We start from the raw sequence: 19941 nt of genomic DNA on the forward strand, positions 1-19941 counted from the left end.
CCTTCATTCCTTTCTAGTGACCAAAATGTATTGGATACTCAGCTATGGGAGATCCCACTGAGCGAGAGTGGCTAAAGGTAGACCTTGACCTGGGAATAGCTGCCTTTTGAAGCAGGAACAGCTCCAGAGGCAGCTGCATCAAGCAGTCCTGCCTGGTGAACATCAGAGTAATGAACGTCACTGCTGTGCTGCCTGACACCCTCATGTTCTCCAAGCTATGTAAGCATTGACCATTGTTCACGTGTGCACATATGCATTAGAGTTCCTTGTTCACCATGTATCCTGAGTGCTTCCATCAGTGCCTGGCACCTAGTAGACACTCAATAAGTCTTTGTTGAATGAATGAGTTCTAGGTGAGGGAGGAGAGCTCAGTTTCCATGAGTTCCACAAAGTCACAGAGTAAGAGCGTGGCAAACTTACATTCCTTCCCCATGTAAGCACTTTTAGCTTCCAGGCCTGAATCTAAAGAGCAGACAGTTTAATCTCAGTGTGGTTTAATGCCCTCAGTATTTCAGCCATTGTTTTCTGCAATTCTCTTTGTGAAATTCTTAGAAATAGTCTCTGAGATTTAAGGATTTCCTTCATGTGGTTTTCATCTCTCCTTCTAAGCAAAGGCAAAGTTAACTTTAAACAGTATTAGGGGACAGGTAAATGGCAGTGTCCCATGGCCCCGTGTGCATGCGTGTGCATATGTGTGTGTGCATATGTGTGTGTGCATGTGTGTGCACGCATGTGTGTGCATGTGTGTGTGTGCATGTGTGTGTGCAAACACACACTTGTGATGCTGAGAACACTGGTCTTATTTTCTCCCAAACATGTTAGCTCCACAATTTCATAATTAGGGGGGATGCTAATGTTCTATGATTGGAAAATGTCACCCTGCGTGACTAATTTGCCAGCAGGGCCTAATTGAAGTTCAGCATCATCTGCGGCTCCTGTAAAGTCTTTCTTCTGAAGTGTGGAGGCAGAGGCAGTGGCGGTGGCAGGGAGCCAGGCTGGGCCAGTGGACGGAGATTTATTGCCCCTCATTTCTCAACAGTTCTGAAGGGTCAGATGGGATATCAGCTGTGGTTGAAATGGGGTTGGCCATAAAGGAAAAATCTGGGGCTGGACTAACCCATGTGGCAGGTGGCACTCAATAAATAGCTGGGCTTTCTCCAGGGAGGGCTTGTTTTTTTTTTTTTTTTTTTGAGTGAGAGGGGTCTTTTGTGTGAATGCAAACATCACAGAGCAGCAGGGCCCGAGGCAGCCTAAGGCAGAGGGTAAATCCTAGGGAGTTTATTCCCATGGTACATCCACTAGGCTGCAGGATCCTTGAGGTCCAGGGATGCGTGTTGATTTATTCCCAGGTTCTCAGTGCCTATTGTCATGCGTGGCACCAAGTAGGCATCCAGTTATACTTTCCTGCTTGCATGGAAGGAATGGCGACCTCTGTTTCTTCAGGTCAGAGATGACTTTGTATTGGATTCTTGACCTGGATTTTAGGGAGTGAGTAGGAACAGCAGGAAGATGGGACATGAGGGTATTTGATATTTGAGACCTTCATTCATTCAACAAATATTTTCTTGAGCATTTTCTATGCACAGATTATGAGACGAGATACTGGGTATAAACTGATGAACAAACTCTCATGGTTTCTGGTTTGTGGAGGTCACATTCCAATAAGAGGGTCAGACGATAAATAGACAAGAAAGAAGCCAACCCTCAAGTTACAAATTTGATCCAGTGCTGTAATTTAAAATTACGTATGTGTGGTGAGGGAGGATGCTATTTTCATATGGTTGTCAAGGAAGGCGTCTCTGAGGAGGTGACATCCAGTTGACACAGGAGTAATGAGAAGGAACTGGCCATGTAAGGATGGAGGGAAGCGCATTCCAGGCAGAGGGAACAGCATGAGAGAAGAGTGTGCCGCAGGAAAGAAGGTGAACTGAAATAAGGGCTGAAATTGGGGTGTGGGTGGGGAGGCGTGTTGGAGATGTTGGAGAGGCAGGTACAGGCCACATCATGCAGGACCTCTTTGGGTTTAGGGAGGAATTTGGGTTTTAGTCCAAGCGCAATGGAGATTCATTAATGAGGTGTAAATAGGGGTAATACTTTGTGTTTTTTGTTTGTTTTGTTTTGTTTTGAGACACAGTCTCACTCTGTCACCACGCTGGAGTGCATTGGTGTGTTCTTGGCTCACTGCAACCTTTGCCTCCTGGGTTCAAGCGATTCTCCTGTCTCAGCCTCCCAAGTAGCTGGGATTACAGGCGCGCACCACCGCATCTGGCTATTTTTTGTATTTTTAGTGGGGATTTCACCATGTTGGACTGGATGGTCTCGATCTCTTGATCTTGTGATCTGCCTGCCTCGGCCTCCCAAAATGCTGGGATTACAGGCATGAGCCACTGCACCTGGCCAATACTTTGTTTTTGTTTTTATTTTTATTTTTTTTAGAGACAGGGCCTCACTCCATCAACCCGGCTGGAGTACAGTGGTGAGATCAAAGCTCATTGCAGCCTTGAGTTCCCTGGCTCAAGCAATCTTCCCACTTCAGCCTCCCAAGTAGCTAGGACTACAAGTGCATTCCTCCATGCCTGGCTAACTTTTAATTTTTTTTTTTTTTTTGTAGAAATGGAGTCTTGCTGTGTTGCCCAGGCTGGTCTTAAACTCCTGGGCTCAAGTGATTCTCTTACCTCAGCCTCTCAAAATGCTGGGCCTTAGGGATACAATTTGAGAAGATGATAAATCCTGCTGTAGAGAATGGATTATGGAGTGGCTGGGTAATAATGGATCCAGGACCCTGGTTAGGCTATTGGAGTAGTCAGAGGAAAGAGGGGGCTCTGGAAGATGCTAGGAAGCGGGAGTATTTTTCTTGTAGGCAGTGGGAGCTGCTGAAGCATTTTGCCCAGCAGTGGGTAACTGGGTGGGGTGTGTATTTTGTAATAATTGCTCTGGTGGCAGTGTAGAGAATGGATTGGAGGAAAGAAAGATGAAGGGAGGAAAATCAGTTTCTGGTTATGTTATAGGGACCGTATTTTAAAGGGGAAATAGGCAAACTGTAGCTGACCAGGATGGCACAGATTTGGAAAACGCTGTATGAGGAAGAGTCAAGGATCCAGCCTGACTGAACACAGAGAAACACACTGGGCAAGAGAGCCCCCATGTTCTGCGGGAGTAGCCGCCAACCAGAAGGGAGCAGACCTCCAGGGGTGAAAGCGATGAGGTCACTGGGAAGCTCAGTGTGCGAAAGGGATGGGTTTCTGACAGAATTGCTTGGCTATGGGACAAGTTTTACACATATAAATACAATTACTTCTGTTTTTTTTTTTCCTCTACATCATGTGAAAACAGGTAGATGAATTTTCACCGAATTGGGGGACATGGTTGGGATGGTCTGCCTTAAAATAGCAATGATGTGGTATATTCAAACCTCACTTTGAGGATCTCAAGGAGATCCTACTCCCAAACTAAGGAACCGAGAGACACCCATGGGACTGGTTGGGAGGGACACGCCCTGTGTAAACTAAAACTGTGGGAAGAGACCATTCTTTTGCATACCCCATTTTCTGGATAAAAAGAAAAAGACATTCCTGTTTTTGATCTTTTAATTCAAGAAATGGGGCAAAAACAACCTAATCTGATCCTGGACTTTCTCTTGAGTTGCACACAGAGGATTCCTTTTATTCATCCTTCCTCCTGCTATTTCCCTTTAACTCTTAATCACTCACCAACGTCCCTCCCTATCCAGAAAAGCCCCAACTCAAGAACTAAACTAAAAGAAAGTAGAATAAAAAATAAATGCTCAAGGAAAACCCACTGCTATCAGCAGCCCCTACCCCCTCCCCATGTACTGTCCCCAGAATTAATTCAGGAGGGAAAGCTATAATCTGATTTCAGACTAATAATGTACTCAGCAGCCCACCCAGCTGTCATTCTCTCTCGTGCGCGCTCTCCCTCTCTCTCTCTCTCTAGCTTCATCAATTCCTGAATTGCTTTCAGGCCAGTCTTTTCACATGTGATTTCTCCACTTTCTAATATTTAATTTTAATTCCAGCCCCGCTTCCCTTGTAAATCCTCTGACTACACAGACCAACCTGGTTTTCCCCTCTGATCCCCTTCTGCTTCCTTCATTATCAGCAAGACAGACCAGCATCTGCCGGGAGAGCTGCACTGACTCGATTTTGCCTTAGATTCAAGACCTAAGGCAGATTATTGCCCCTGTTATCAATATAAAGGACATTTTAATTTTCTGGGGTCCAAGAACAGGCAACTTACTAGGAGTCCAAATGGAAGACGGCCCCAGTGCTCCTGGCCTGCCCCCTGTCTTCCACTGTGTTCTGGAACAGAGTAGATCCTCTCACACCTTATAGGAAGGAAAGCTCTCTCTGGGTCTTCGGGAGCCACTGGTTCTGGCCTGGCCTGGCAGGCTCCATGCTGTAGCTCCGAGTGGGAGTCGATAGTTCTGCAGAGCTCAGAGGCTGGGCGGAAGTGCAGAGCTGGGGTGTTCAGGCTCAAGGAGGGGCACTCAGCCAGCTCAGGGACAAGGGGAAAGGTGGAGATTGCCCTCACTGCTCCCCAAGTCCCTCCACACCCTTCTTCACTTGCTCAGGGTCAAGTGCCAGAGGGACTGTGTCAGACAAAGGCCAGCTCTGGGACAAGTGTTCAGGTTCCTCAAGCACGGGTGTATGGCAGGACAGGCCACAGGCCTTTGAACACACCCGGTTTCCAGTGCTCGGGCAACTGCTGGCTCTCAGGAATGTCCAAGAGGTGGCTACCAGGAACAGAGCCTGCATCCCTGGAGAGTCCGCTTCCCCTCAAAGCTGGGTCTCAGGGGGATCCCCATTCAGCAAGTACGGGGTTGCCCTGTTTACTCTGGATAGAGCTTCAGTTTGAGGAATCATGTGATTTTGGGCAGTGGCAGCCTGGCCCCTTCTTGGAACACCTGCAGCCATCTCTTAGGATGGCCTTCCTTGTTTTAGTCTTACAGAAATATCTTGAAGGCAGGGACTGTGTCTTGCACTGCTTCGTATCCCAGCAACACCAGGCCCAAGCTCTTGGCCATGCGAGATGTTCATTAGGTACCTTTCTCCAGGGGATCAAGGCAGCGTGGAGGAGAGGAGAGAGCTTGGGCCCTCCGTCTGCACGCCTGCACTGTAGTATCCGTGTCAGTGCCTGTAGTTGTGCCAGCCTGAGAAGGCCTACTGGTTTCTTGTGGCTGCCTTCATAATGTACCACAACCTGGGTGCTTAAAACAGCAGAAATTTATTCTGTTGTAGTTCTGGAGGGCAGACATCCAGCATCAAGGTTTCAGAAAGTTCGGTTCCTGCAGGATGCCCTGGGGCAGAATCTATTCCTTGTCCCCCTTCTGGCTTCTGGTGGCTGCTGGCTTCTGGTGGCTGCTGGCACTCCTTGGTGTCCTTTGGCTTGTAGCTGTGTCAGTCCAATCTCTGCCTCCCTTGTCACATGGTATTCTTCTTCCACGTCTCTGTGTCCCTGTATCTTCATGGGGCCTTTTTTTTTTTTGAGACGAAGTTTCATTCTTGTTGTCCAGGCTGGAGTACAATGGCAAGATCTCAGCTCACTGCAACTTCTATCTCACGGATTCAAGCGATTCTCCTGCCTCAGCCTCCTGAGTAGCTGGGATTACAGGTGCCCGTCAGCATGCCTGGCTAATTTTTGTATTTTTAGTAGAGACGGGGTCTCACCATGCTGGCTAGGCTGGTCTTGAACTCCTAACCTCAGGTGATCCACCCGCCTTGCCCTCCCAAAGTGCAGGAATTACAGGCATAAGCCACCATGCCCGGCCCACGGGGCCTTCTTATAAAGACACCAGTCATTGGATGTAAGGGCCCACACCACTCCAGTATGACCTCATCTTAGGGCCCACCCTACTCTAGTATGACCTGACTTGATTACATCTGCTAAAATCGTATTTCTAAATAAGGCCACCTTCACAGGTATGGAGGTGGTAGTGGCTAGGATGTTGGCATATCTCTTTGGGGGACTTAATTCACCCCACATCAGAAGGTTACTCCACCAATCTAAGGGCATCACACCCTACGAGAAGCTTGAGACAGTGTAAAGTGAACTGAACTTGGAGAGAGGAGATCGTCCCCAAGACCTAAGTGCTAGAAACTGTGGTGTTACCCTGGCAAAGTCTCTTTACGTTCTTTCTTTTTTTTTTTTTGAGACAGAGTTTTGCTCTGTCACCCAGGCTGGAGTTCAGTAGTCTGATCTCGGCTCACTGAAATCTCTACCTCCTGGGTTCAAGTAATTCTCTTGCTTCAGCCTCCTGAGTAGCTGGGATTACAGGAGCCCACCATCACATCTGGCTAATTTTTATATTTTTAATACAGGTGGGGCTTCATCATGTTGGCCAGGCTGGTCTCGAACTCCTGACCTCAAGTTGACCTGCCAACCTGGCTTCCCAAAATGCTGGGATTACAGGCATGAGCCACTGTGCCCAGCCTGTCTCTTTACTTTCATGGGCCTCGGTTTGTCTGCAAAATGAGGACATCCATCTAGATATCTGAGATAACTTCCAGTCCTAACATTTTATGGTTTGAAATTTACTTTTTCTGCCTCAAAGAGAAAGACAAAGAATGAATAATAAGAAAACCAAGAAAGCAGAGAAATAGAAAGAAATAAAGGAAAAGAAAATAATGAGGGGAGAAATACAGAGAGCAGGAACATCAGACAAGCAGAAAAGTGGAAGCATGTGTGATAGCCCAAACAAAACGAAAGGAGGGCATCTGAGGGAGCAGAAAATGGAAGCTTATTTATCTGCGTGTGTGTGTGTGTGCGTGTGCATTTGCATTTAACCTTGTTTGCTCATAATCTGGTTGCAAAAAATATATAGCTATATAATAAGGAGCCGAACATTTCCCCTGGTTGCATACAAACTCCTGTTTTATAAACCATTATCTCCTGATGCTATTAATTTAGGACATATTGTTCGAGGGACTGCTGAGGCACGACCTGTGGAAGGTGCTCTGTGTGTGTGTGTGTGTGTGTGTGTGTGTGTGTGTGTGTAATGAGAGCGAGCCTTCTTTTTTTCTCCCTCCTTTACATAAAGCAAAGCAGTTTGTTGACAAAAGTGAGGTCAGGGAGAGAACCATTTTCCAGGTCTGCGGCACCAGCCTGTCTTCAGCTGCCTGCTCACATTCCACCTGGAAAGATTGCAGTGGAAACAGCCTTCCCTTACTGGAGTTGTGCATGTCCTCTCTGGCTCCTGGCCCAGTGATCCTGGCACACACCCAGAACCCCAGGCCCCATGCAGACTGCAGTCAGAGCCACCTCCGTATCTCCGGATAGCTCTGTTGCTTTCTCCTGGGTGGGAATCCTTGGACTGAGATTCCCCCAAATAAACCCCCTCATTGGTAAGAAGCTGCAGCCCCTGCTCCTTTAACTATTGCTCTCAGTTTGCAGGGTACCAAGTTATGTGCCACCTCAATTCTCATTCACACCCTCCCCCACCTTTGTGGCTGCTGACCTTCTCATAATAGCTAGTCTACAATAATTGTGCAGCAAGTGGGGTTGCCAATTAAATTGTGCAGTGATAATTACGCAGCAATTAGGGGTGTGTATAATTGTGCAGCAAGTAGGGTTGCAAATAAAAATCCAGCATACCCGCTAGTTTAGAATTTCAAATTAGCAATGTATTTTTTAGGATAAGCATGTCCCAAATATTGCATAGGACATAATTATACTAAAAAATTATTCTTTTTTTTTTTTGGGGGGGAAGTTCAAATTGAACTGGGCAACTTGTATACTTTCTGGCAACCCTAGAAGAAGGGGAAACTGACACTGCAAAGTTCCCTTGCTCTTCCTGTTTTCATTCTTCTTGGGTCTGAGACAGCCAAGTCACTGTACTATTGGCAACCTCTCCTTCCTTACCCCCGCTGACATTTTTCATGTGATACTTTTAGTTCTTTTTGTTCTTGGTCAGTCCCTTTTAGATAGAGGGAGTCAGGTAAGTGCTGTAAATAAATAAATAGCATTGCCCATCACCCAGATTAACCCTTGGGAATTGTGTCTCTATTCCATTGTGATTTGTTTGCCAGCGCTCAGGTAATGCTCCTTTTTTTTTTTTCACATGCCTTCCTTCATAAATATTTATCTTTTGCCATCAGGACACCAGGGAGGATGGAACTCTGAGATGGAAAATCCATCAAAATGGCAAACATTCTAGCAATCACACTTCTAAGAATCTGTCCCAAAGAAATCATCAGAGATGTGCAGAGATTTATGTACAAGGATGTGCATCCCAGTGCTATTTATAACAGTGAAATATTGGAGACTCTCCAAGTGTCCATCAGTGGGAGGATGGTAAATGATGGGACATTCCTCAAGTGGAATATTATGTGACAGCTAAAAATCATGTTTTTAGAAAAATATTTTATGACATAGTAATGTTAATAATATAGAGAGTGAAAAAAGTGATACATGGCAGTGTGATCTGAATACACATAGGAAAAAGTCTAGGACGTTCACCAATATGTTAGTTGTTTGGAAAAGCATAGAGCCCTGCCTGCAGCACTGCATGCAATTCATTTCAGAGTTTCTCCTGTTCTGATGGTCAGGACGCCATGGTTGAAAATCAGCATGAAATTGTGGTTTGGTTCCACTTTATCTATGGGGCATCATTGTTTGTTTGTTGTTTTTCAGCACTGGGGTGGGTGTGAAGAGACAAAGGGGACAAAACTAGTGCCTCTGTTCATAAAATCATGTCTCTTACATGTGCAGAGGTGACGACACATCTTGGAGAACCCAGAAGTGACATGGCCTCCTCATGGATCCCTCTATCTCATCTTTCCTGTCTGCAAGGCTGCTGTTTAACTTCCCAGACCCCAATCCCATCCTAGTAAGCTTCTACCCAACATTCTTCTATGGCTCCTTATTACCTTTAGCAGTGGCTCCCAATCTGTAGAGGACTCCCCAGAACTGGGGCTCAGGAACCCATGTCTCACATACAGTCTCACACACATGATCAGCAAATTATGCACGTTGTTTTTCAATGTAGGTAAATGCTGTTGTCATCAATAGAATACAAAATAATGGTTTAAAAAGCTTTTTTTTGTGGTAGGGGGAGGAAGGGAAGAATGAATAGAAATAACACAGAGGATCTTTAGGGCAGTAAAACAATTATTCTGCATGATACTGTAATGGTAGATGCATTCAATGTACATTTCAAAACCCATAGACTATACAACACAAAGAGTGAACCCTAATGTAAACCACAGACTTTGGTTTATAATAATTTATCAGTATTGGCTCATCTATTGTATAAATGTACCGCACTAATGCAAGATGTTAAAAATAGGGAACCCAAGGAAGGCAGGTGGGAGGGATCTATGGAAACTCTCTGTACTTTCCACTTATTTTTTTTCTGTAAACCTAAAACTGCTTCCCTCAGAAATAGCCTATTAATTTTTTAGAAAGCCTTTTGTATATAGTATTGACACAGGATTTTCTTGGTCACTTTGCAAGCCAAGGACCTCCAGCCAGCGACGCCCCATCCAGGTCTTGCTCAACCAGGCTACCTGTTGCAGGAGATAGCCCGTCCACTACGGCCGAGTCTGGCTTGTGCATTGGTTCCCAAGTTCTTGTCCCACACTCAAGAAGAATGAGGATGCACTGACAGTCAAACAGTGAGCAATGTGCAAAGTTTTGTTGAGTGATGAAACAGCTTTTAGCAGAGAGGGGACACAGGGGTGGTCCCCCTACCTGAAGGTGGGAAAGTCCCCCCCGTGTGACTGAGACTGGGGATTTTATGGGCTCAGAATAGGGGAGGGGCAGGCAAATGGAACAGAAGTTCTCACTCTGAGTCTTGGGTTTCATCTGGGACCAGCAGTCCAGTCTTTCAGACTTCATGCTGTTTTTTTGGCTTGAAGGTGGGGTTTCACCTAGGCCCCTATCTACTTAGGAGTTTGGCTGCCTCCTGCTGTTCTCAGTATACTTATACTTTTTACATATGCTTTCTAATCAATCAAATTAAAATATACTTATGATCAAATGATGGCCACTGAAACATAGAGAAATTATTTCCTTTTAAAATTGTGGCTGCTGACCTTTGTTTCATGTTTCTGGGGTAAAAGTATGGGCTTTATATTTTTTTGACTTCAAAGGTTTATTCATTCTGTGTGAATGAGTATTTGATTTTCATACAACTTATTTATAAAGAGCCTTTAAAAGGGGGAGAGATTATTCCCACTTGAACAGTTGGGGAACCATTGGCCTATTGATTGAAATTTAGCTTCTCAGTGTTACCTGGTCCCCACACTCCCCACCACCAGCTCTTTCCTCAACATGCCATCAGCCTTCAAGCTGTTTCTTCTTTGAACATCTTTTTCCACTTCTCCACTCTCCCATTTTACTTCCTTCTTTAAGGCTTGATTCAAACATCACATCTTCCCTGAAGACTTCCTGGTTGTCTGGATTAGAGGTGGCCTCTTGCTTTGTGCTCTAAAACATCTTGTTTACACCATGATATGGTTTGGCTCTGTGTCCCTACCCAAATCTCATGTCGAATTGTAATCCCCACATACTGAAGGAGGGACCTGGTGGGAGGTTATTGGATCATGGGGTCGGGTTCCCCCATGCTGTTCTGGTAATAGTGAGGGAGTTCTCATGAGATCTGATGGTTTTAAAAGTGGCAGTTTTTCCTGTGCCCTCTCTTGCCTGCTGCCATGTAAGATGTGCCTTGCTTCCCCTTCATCTTCTGCCACAACTGTAAGTTTCCTGAGACCTCCCCAGCCATGTGGAACTGTGAGTCAATTAAATCTCCTTTCTTTACAAATTACCCAGGCTCAGGTGGTATTTTTTAATAGCAGTCTGAAAATGGACTTATACAGAGAATTGGTACAGGAACAGTGGGGTAGTGCTATAAGGATAACCTGAAAATGTGGAAGTGACTTTGGAACTGGGTAATGGGCAGAGGTTGGAACACTTTGGAGGGCTCAGAAGAAGACAGGAAGATGTGGAAAAGTTTGGAACTTTCTAGAGACTTGTTGAATGGTTTTGACCAAAATGCTGACAGTGATAGGATAATGAAGTCCAGGTTGAGGTGGTCTCAGATGGAGATGAGGTACTTATTGGAAACTGGAGCAAAGGTCACTATTGCTATGCTTTAGCAAACCGGCTGGCATCATTTTGCCCCTACCCTGGAAGTCTGTTGGACTTTGAACCTGAGAGAGATGATTTAGGGTATCTGGCAGAAGAAATTTCTAAGCAGCAAGGCATTCAAGAGGTGACCTGGTTGATTCTGAAGGCATTCAATTATAGTGCTCACCAAGAAATGGTTTGAGATTGGAACTTATATTTAAAGGGGAAGCAGAGCATAAAAGTTTGGAAAATTTGCAGCCTGATGGTGGTTTCCCCCATACTGTGCTTGTGATAGTGATGGAGTTCTCATGAGATCTGATGGTTTAAAAGTGGCAGTTTTTCCTGCACTCTCTCTTGTCTGCCACCATGTAAGATGTGCCTTGCTTTCCCTGCACTTTCTGCCATGATTGTAAGTTTCCTGAGGCTTCCCCAGTCATGTGGAACTGTGAGTCAATTAAACCCTTCTTTGTAAATTACCCCAGTCTTAGGTTGCATTCTTTACAGCAGTGTGAAAACGGACTAATACATACCATATTGAGGCACTTGCAATGGTTTCGTTCATACCTCTGTTTCCCCTCATGGATTTGTGGGCAATTTGGGGGAAAGGTACATGTTTTAAGACTTTAAAAAATTATCTCTACTTCTTGAACACTGACTAGAAATATGTTTGTTAATTGAGACAGTCACCTTGTCCCCAGCCCAAATGGAGGTCCCAGCTCAAGGATTCTCATGCATTAGTTCATCCAACCATTCATTCAACAACTATTTATTGAACACATATTATGGGTCAGATACTATTGGAGGCACTGAGGATATGGTGGGTACATGATAGAGGAGGACTCTGCTCTCAGGGAACTGTCATTCTTATGGGAGACTTAGGTAATATGCAAGTTAACAGTAAACAGATAAAGAAGAGAATCTTAGATCAAAACAGGGCAATGTCGTTGATTTAGTCATTCGGCAAATATTTATTCAGTACCTATGTCTTATTAGATATTACTATAGTTTCTGGGCATGTGGAAGAGAACAAAACAAAGGTCCTATCTTCAAAGATGCTCTTCGGGTAGAAAAAGACTTGGCGGATGAGGTGTAGTATTAGATAGGATGGTCAAGGCAGACATTTCAAAGGCACTGCATGGGACCTAAGTAATTAAGAGGATGGCACTTGAACAAACACTTCTATAAATAATGAAGAGGAACCAGTTATGGAAATATCAGGAAGAGAATTGCTTCAGGAAGATGAGAAAATAAGTGCAAAGGCCCCAAGGCAGGAATGAGCTTGTCATGAGGAACACAAGCAGGCCAGTGTGTCTGCAGTGGTAAGAGCTGAGGGTAGGAGCTCCCATGGGGCCCTGCAGGTGGTGCTCAGGTGTTTAGATTTTGTTTTATTTAATTTTAAATGCATAAGGAGCTATTAGTTCAGGATGGATAAATGTGGATCTATTTCCTGGAGCTCACATCTGAAGATTTGATTCAGTGAGTGTGGTGTAAAGCCTTGGAATCTGCAAAACATTCCCACGGTGGTTTCAAAGCAAGAAGTCTGTGAATAATTCTTGATGGTAGATTTTAGAGAGACCGCTTGGACTTTTACTAAATGCCTGCTATTTAGATTTGAAATCAGCATGGGAGGAGGCTTTGGGTCAAATACATCACAGAGCTGCAAGGAAGGATAACTGGTTCCCTGCAGCATCCCAGACCCCAATTCTTTGGCCTAGCACTGAGACTCCTTTATGCGTTGAGAAACCCTTGGAGAGCTTGTGGAGCTTCAGCTTCTTACGTGGGCCCCAGTATCTGGAGAAAGCAATGCAAAGGTTGCATTGGCTTAAGGAGTAGAGTTCTGAAGTTCATGCCATTTAACGTCTCTGAGTTCTGGCCTTCTAAAGTGGTTCCAAAATCTAGCAAAGAAACTGGATGAGATTCACTCAAGGATTCCCTCTCTACAAATAAAATGAAGTAAAATAAAATTTGGATTATATTATTTTATGAAAATCATGATAATCTTCTGAAGCAGGTAGGTCAGGATCATTATCCATGGCAGAGTTGAGTTGAGAATACAGCGTCTCCTGATGCATAGCCCCAGGCTCTTCCAAAACATCCAGCATCAGCTCCTTAGCCCATGTTCGGTGCACACCGAAACCCCTGATTCCTAAAACCTTGTTTCTTATTCTGTTCCTCTGTTTACAGACAGGACTGCACCCAGGCTGGTAGAGGGCTATTTTGTTTAAAGGTGTCTGGGGAAGAAATACTCACAACCTCACTCCGAGCCCTTTCTGGGATCATTGCCTCTTGGCATTTCTTGTGCAAGGAAAGGAGGCAGGGTTGAGCTTGGGGCTGAGCAATGAAGACCAGATGGCGTCTGCCACATATTAGCTGGGTGACTTTAGGCAAATCCTGTCCCTCTCTGGGCCTGGGTTTGCTCCTCTGGAAAGTGAACTGGTGAGATGAAATGTAACTTCTGACATTTATTCCATGGTTTTTCTGTCGTTTGCTTTATAGAGCTGGGGAAATAGAGGCTCAGTGTCAGGACGTGTTGGAGAAAATTGCCTTTTGAATAGAGAGTGGAATTACAATTGCTCTCTGCTTCCCTGTTCAGTGAGCTGGCCACTGCCAGACCATACTCCCTCCCTGGCAAGCTTTTGTTCAAAGCAGCATGCAGAGAGGCTGGAACAAGCCCACTGGCCTCTTGGTCCTGCTCCTCATTTTCCACTCCAGCCTCATTTAGAAGGAGGCTTTTATTATCCCTTTTTCTCTTGGTTTCCTTTCTTTCCTATTGGGATGCAGCTGCAAACACAATTAGAGAGGACAAATGCTAATTTCATCTAGAACTGGAAACTGAATTTCTTTTTAAAAAGGAGATGGGACCTCAGAGGGAACATTCTTTATTTTCAAAGCATCAGTGAACCAGAGGAAGGAAGAGGGGCTGCTGTGATTTGGGAAGCTGTGCTCCCCGCTCTTAGTGTGAGAAAGTAGACTCCAGAGTCCCTGACTGAAGTGACATTACATTTGTTCAGGAAGCATGATCCATCAGCTGGAAAACACGGGGATGTGCCTGGGACTAGCTCACAATCTCAGAGAGGCTTTAACACAGGCACTGATGGTGGCCATGGACACCTGGAGAGAGGGTTGCCATAGCTTCATCACTTTGACTTAGAGTTGAGCAATTTGGACCTGACTGGACAGCAGAGGACATACCCAGTCCGTCCAGTAGAGGGTGCCAGCAGCCTCCACCCATAGAACAGCCTCAATGTGAACACCCTCACTTCTTTCTGAGGAAGCGTTTACAGGCAGAGCTGTGTCCGTTCACAGTGTTCAGCTGCTTGAGCATGGCTTCCATCCATTCGGGGAGAGCAAAGAACCCTGGACCTAGAGTCATGAGCCTTGGATGCCAGCCTTGACTCTGGGACCCCAGGGAAGCCATACATCTTGGCCTTATTTTTCTTATCTTCAAAATTTGCAAGAATTATCACAGAGGTGCCTTTCAGCTTTAATACTCCACAGTTCTGTGACTCATACGTATGACTGAAACTCTCAATGAAAGATGAGTTAACTTGAAATGTTCTGGAAAGTTGGGCTTGGAGTAACAGATATAAACAATACAAGTTTATATGGAGCTGATTTATGGAGAATTTTATTTAGAGGAATAAGGAAATGAAACAGTCTCCCCACTGTCTCTGTTCTCTTGGGTGAGAACCTTTTCAATTGCTTTTAGCCAGCGGTCACTTGAATCTTTTTAGGCAAGCTTGTTAAAAGGAAGCAAGATGGTTTGGGCTTGCATTAGGGCAAATCAAGCACCATAAAACCCTGAAAAATCAGAGGCTGAAACGCAATACAATTATATTTCTCACTTATATCATAGTCCAGTTTGAAACAGGTGGAATGGGCTCTGCTCCACAAGGTCATTCAGTAACTCAAGAGACCTTCCAATTCATGATTCCATCCTCTTCCAGTCCTCAAAGTTTTCTGCTCAGCCAGTGGATGGGGAAAGAGAGAGAGTGGAGAATTGCCTAGGAGTTCACAGGCCAAGCTGGGAGTGACATATTTTTAAAAATTATTATTATTATTTTTTGAGTTGGAGTCTCACTCTGTTGCCCAGGCTGGAGCACAGTGGTGTGATCTCAGCTCACTACAACCTCTGTCTCCCAGGCTCAAGTGATTCTCCTGCCTCAGCCTCCTGAGTAGCTGGGATTACAGGCGCCTACCACCACACTAATTTTTTGTAACTTTAGTGGAGATGGGGTTTCACCATGTTGGCCAGGCTGTTCTTGAACCCCTCACCTCAGGTGACCCACCCACCTTGCCTCCCAAAGTTCTAGGATTACAGACGTGAGCCACTGTGCGCAGCCTGGGAGTGACATATATAATGCTTGCCCTCTTTCCATTCAACAGGAGTGGTCACATGGTCCCACCTAGAAGCTCAGGGACTGGAAAATATGGCCCAGGGTTGTGGCCCAGAAAGAAAAAGAGAACAAAAGTCTTGATGATAATTAGCAGTTTCTGCCTCTCTAAGGGCTGTTTCTGAGAATGAAGAAGAATGCCCTCTCTATAGCGTAGGTACTATTTATGTGAAGGCAGTGTCCCCATCACTGTAAGACTGTGTCCTCCCTCAGGGGCACCTTTCTTGGGTTTACACTAAAGTGCTATATAAGCTAGCAGTGGCCCGACATATGCTCTGAAGTCAGGCATATCTTGTGTCTAATCTCAGCCCCACTAACTAATTATGAGAACTTGAATAGGAAACCTGTTTCCAGATTACAAATGAGGCAACTGAGGGTTGTAGGGAAGGATTCAACCAATCTCACAGGGTTTTTGTGAAAATTACATGAAATAAGATATTTAAGGAGAATGAGGCAGAGTAGGCACTCAATAAATAGTATTAGAGTTCTCCTCTCACCTCCCTTTTGGAATGGTTCTACCACCATGAGACCCCCTGTTAGGAATATTGGTCTATGGTTCAGTTCATTAATGAATTTGGGCCAGTTCCAGCTCCTTAAAACATTATAAGGTCCTTTCCATTCCTGCTGAAATGCACAGTTAATGTTAACTCTGAGCCTGATATCCTTTAAATGGCATGCATTCAATAAGGCAAAACAAAAGCTCAGAACCCTATAGAAGAATGAGCAGAGATAATAACACTAAAAATCTGAGCTCCGTTAGTGACTGCAATGGAATACTTGAGTGTTGAGGTGTCTGGCACCTAAGGCAAAAAAGGGGAATCAAATGGATTGCATAAATCTCATTATATGATTTAAGAAAGATGCCTCTTTGTGAGGGAATAGTAACTCTTTTTTCCTGGGGGGCTACAATGAAGAAGACATTTATCAGGTGGCACTTACAGGTGAAGGCATGGCCTTTCCCCTTCTGTCTATGTGATTGACTCTGAGAACTGCCTTTGGATTTTCAAAAGCGTAATCTGGGGCAGAATGAAGAGAGATACCTGCTCCCCAGGATTCAGGAGCAGGCCAGTGCCTCCCATGGGTAAATACCTTCCTCTTGGGTGGAGATTTGTGTCTCGAGAAGGGCATAGATGGATTCTACCAGCTACAGGCTGGATTCTAAGAGCTGGGAATTACCTCACACAGAGTCAGGGTCACAGGGCTATGAACTCAATGAACACCAAGCAACGGTGCAGCTTCCAGAGTCCCTTCCTGCTTCTAGTAGCCCTGCTGGATGGACGAGGTGCAGGGTGCAGCCAGCCTGCCTGGGGCCTGCCCAGCCCTGTTTGTCTTATGTGGCATAAAGTCCTCCTGAAATAATTTTGCATTTGCTTTAAAACAATTTGCCTGATTGTAATGATAAAACAACATTATATGCAGATGTCTTGCTATTTTAAAAAACCTAATTTACTTTGAATTAATGTTTGTTGACATGGTGTTTGGTGGGGCAGGGACAGAGATAGAGGGACCAGGAGATGGAGCTATTGAAATGAGAGAACCACTAAGTAAAATGGTTCTTCTCATTTTTTTTTTCTTCAAATCAAACTTTCAGGAGAGAGAACAGAGTTAAAATCTGCAGGAAATGCTTGCATCCAGGAATGTTTTAAAGCTCTTGCCAAGATCAACAATGAGAAGTATGTTTGGAAATTGCTTTGCAAACCTCCCAGTTTGCAGAGCGCAGCACCTCACCAATAATGGTGATGGTGGCTGGTGTTTATAGGACACCCATTGTGAAAGGGCTGTGAGCACTGGGCATTTATTTGTAAGCACCACTTGTTTACACAGTCAAGCTGGGACGTTGAGGTGATAGAAATAACTCTCCTTTTCAATAAACAAGGAAACTGAGTCACAGCAACCAGTTCGAGTGACTTCATTAAGGCTTAGATTCAGCCTCACAGTATTGGAGTAGGTTTCAGAGGTCACCTTGTGGCAAGTTTTTGGATTGACCTCTTGGAATTTCAGACCTGAAATGGTCCGTGAGGACCACGTGAGGACCACATCCGGTTAGAGGTGGAATTGGGCATATAAACAAAGCATCCAGGATGACTTCTGTTAACTTTCGTGTCTGCAGAATTCCTCTGAAGCAGTCCCAGGCCTCCACCAAGTCTCACACATCTGGCCCTGTTTTCCTTTGCTCTATCCTCAAACCTTCTTCAAAAAGCTTCAGATTCTAGGTAACTGCAGGGGGTTCAGCTTCAGGAGACAATGAGACTCCAAGATACAGGTGCAAGGCTTGGCATCAGCAGACTTAGGTCTGAATCTCAGCTCAGATGTTTTTAAATGGTTTGACTATAGGTAGATGACTTAATTTTTATGATGCCTCCTTTGAACACCTAACTCAGTGGCTCTCCAAGCGCAGTGTCTCAAGCAGCAATATCAGCATCATTCAGTAATTTGTTAGAAATACAAATTCTTGGGCTGTACCCCCGACCTACTGAATGGTCAACTCTTGAGTGAGGCTCAGCAATCTGGGTTTTCAAAGTCCTCCAGGTGATTCTGGTAGATGCTGAAGTTTGAGAAGTGCTGCTGAAACTAATAATACCATCAGCCTTACAAGGCTGATGTTAGGCTTAGAATTAAAACATGGAAAGTTCATAGCACACATGAGATGCTCAATAAACTATAGTAGTGACAGTGGCTTCTCATCATCATCATCATCCCCTTCCTTCCTTCCTTTCTTTTTTTCCTTCTTTTTTTCTTCCTTCTTTTTTCTTTCTTTCTTTCTTTCTTTCTTTCTTTCTTTCTTTCTTTCTTTCTTTCTTTCTTTCTTTCTTCTTTCTTTCTCTCTCTCTCTCTCTCTCTCTCTCTCTCTTTCTTTCTTTCTTTCCTTCCTTCCTTCCTTCCTTCCTTCCTTCCTTCCTTCTTTCTTTCTTTTTCTTTCTTTCTTTTCTTTTTTTTGAGACACAGTTTTACTCTGTTGCCAAGGCTGGAGTGCAGTGGCGCAATCTCGGCTCACTGCAACCTCTGCCCCCTGGGTTCAAGCGATTCTCCTGCCTCAGCCTCCCAAGTAGCTGGGATTACAGGCGAGTACCACCATGCTAGGTTAATTTGTGTATTTTTAGTAGAGATGGGTTTCACCATGTTGGCCAGTGTCGTCTTGAACTCCTGACCTGAGGTGAGGTGCCTGCCTCGGCCTCCCAAAGTGCTGGGATTACAGGGGTGAGCCACAATGCCTGGCCATCATTTCTTCTCTGAAACTACCTTTTAGCTTGAGAGATGTATCACTCACAATCCAGAAGCCTGTAGGATTTCAGTAGTACCTGAACTGTGCTCTCTTAGCTGACACTCATGAGCTGGAGAGACAGATTTGACTCTATTTTATACATTCTTATTTTCTTAGCTTTTTATTCAAGTTCTGGAACTATAAGCAGAGTGATAGGGAAAAGGGCCAAGTACTATAGGGGCCATTTGGGCAGGGAGTTTATACCTGCAATCTGTCACCTCTCCCATGATGAAGGTAACAGAGAGAGGAAGAGCTTTGTCAGGGATGTTTGGAAGACTCAGTGTCTCTGGATTCCAGAGGGGCTTTTTGTTGTTTGTTTTGGCTTGTGTTGTTTTGTTATTTTCCCTAGTCCTACTACTACTTTACTCTGGTTCTTTAATCTCCTCCAATAGGATAGTGATCCCAAGAAAGAGGCCTTGTTCTCATCCAAAATAATCTCACGGGAGTTAATACAAAATAAAAGAGTTCTTAAATTGAGTGCAACAAACAGACAAACCCCAAACTTTACAAACAACTTACATTTAAATATTTTCTACCCAAAGTGCCTTCATTTTGCTTTCCAAAACATCCCTTGGGCATCAGGCAGGAGGGAGATTGTTGTCTATATTTTACAGACGTGGAAACTGAAGCAGAGAGGAATTGGGTTGATTTGCCCCAGATGATGTGGTGGTCCTGGAGGCAGCCTCCTGGGCTCCCAGACTCTCCCTGCTTGCTGGATGGAAGTTTCTGAAGGCCCTGGGCTCCCGGAGGCTGCAGTGGACATGGAGAAACAAGGAAGAAATGTTTGTTTATTAAGCAAGGGAGCAGAACTAGGAGATTCATCAGCTTATATGGTAGAGCCCCCTCTGGTCCCTGGCATGCCTGGGAAATGGGGAGTGGAAGTGGGTCTCTTCCAAGCAGGGGATCCCGCAGGTTCTGGACTGGGAAGGTCATCATGGAAGAAGCTGCCAGGCATACTTTTCAGAAAAGGTCTGAAGTTCCATCCAAGGGTGCCCTGGAGGAGTGATGAGCAGAGCGCCCTGGGGAGCTGTTTGTATTTGAAGCCTGGAGCCAAATGTGGTAGATTAGCTTGGGTACCAAGGCACTCAAATGGCAGGTTCTGATCTCCTCTGGAGGTTTGGAATTGGTTCTCTGAATCATCTTCATACTTCACATCGTACTGCTTGAGCAGCTGGTGTGAAACCCAACTAGGGAAACTGA

The 19941-nt window shown here is 44.9% G+C and overlaps 1 long non-coding RNA gene across 1 annotated transcript in view; it reads left to right on the forward strand.

Annotated features, from left to right (window-relative positions):
• LOC107986849 (uncharacterized) overlaps positions 1-19941 on the forward strand; it is a 37873-nt gene continuing 17932 nt past the window's right edge. Inside the window, exon 1 of the long non-coding RNA XR_001745363.2 lies at positions 1-219. This is a non-coding gene — a long non-coding RNA (uncharacterized LOC107986849). The remainder of the gene's footprint in view (positions 220-19941) is intronic.

Source organism: Homo sapiens, chromosome 7 (assembly GCF_000001405.40).
Source record: "Homo sapiens chromosome 7, GRCh38.p14 Primary Assembly".
NCBI lineage: Eukaryota > Metazoa > Chordata > Mammalia > Primates > Hominidae > Homo > Homo sapiens.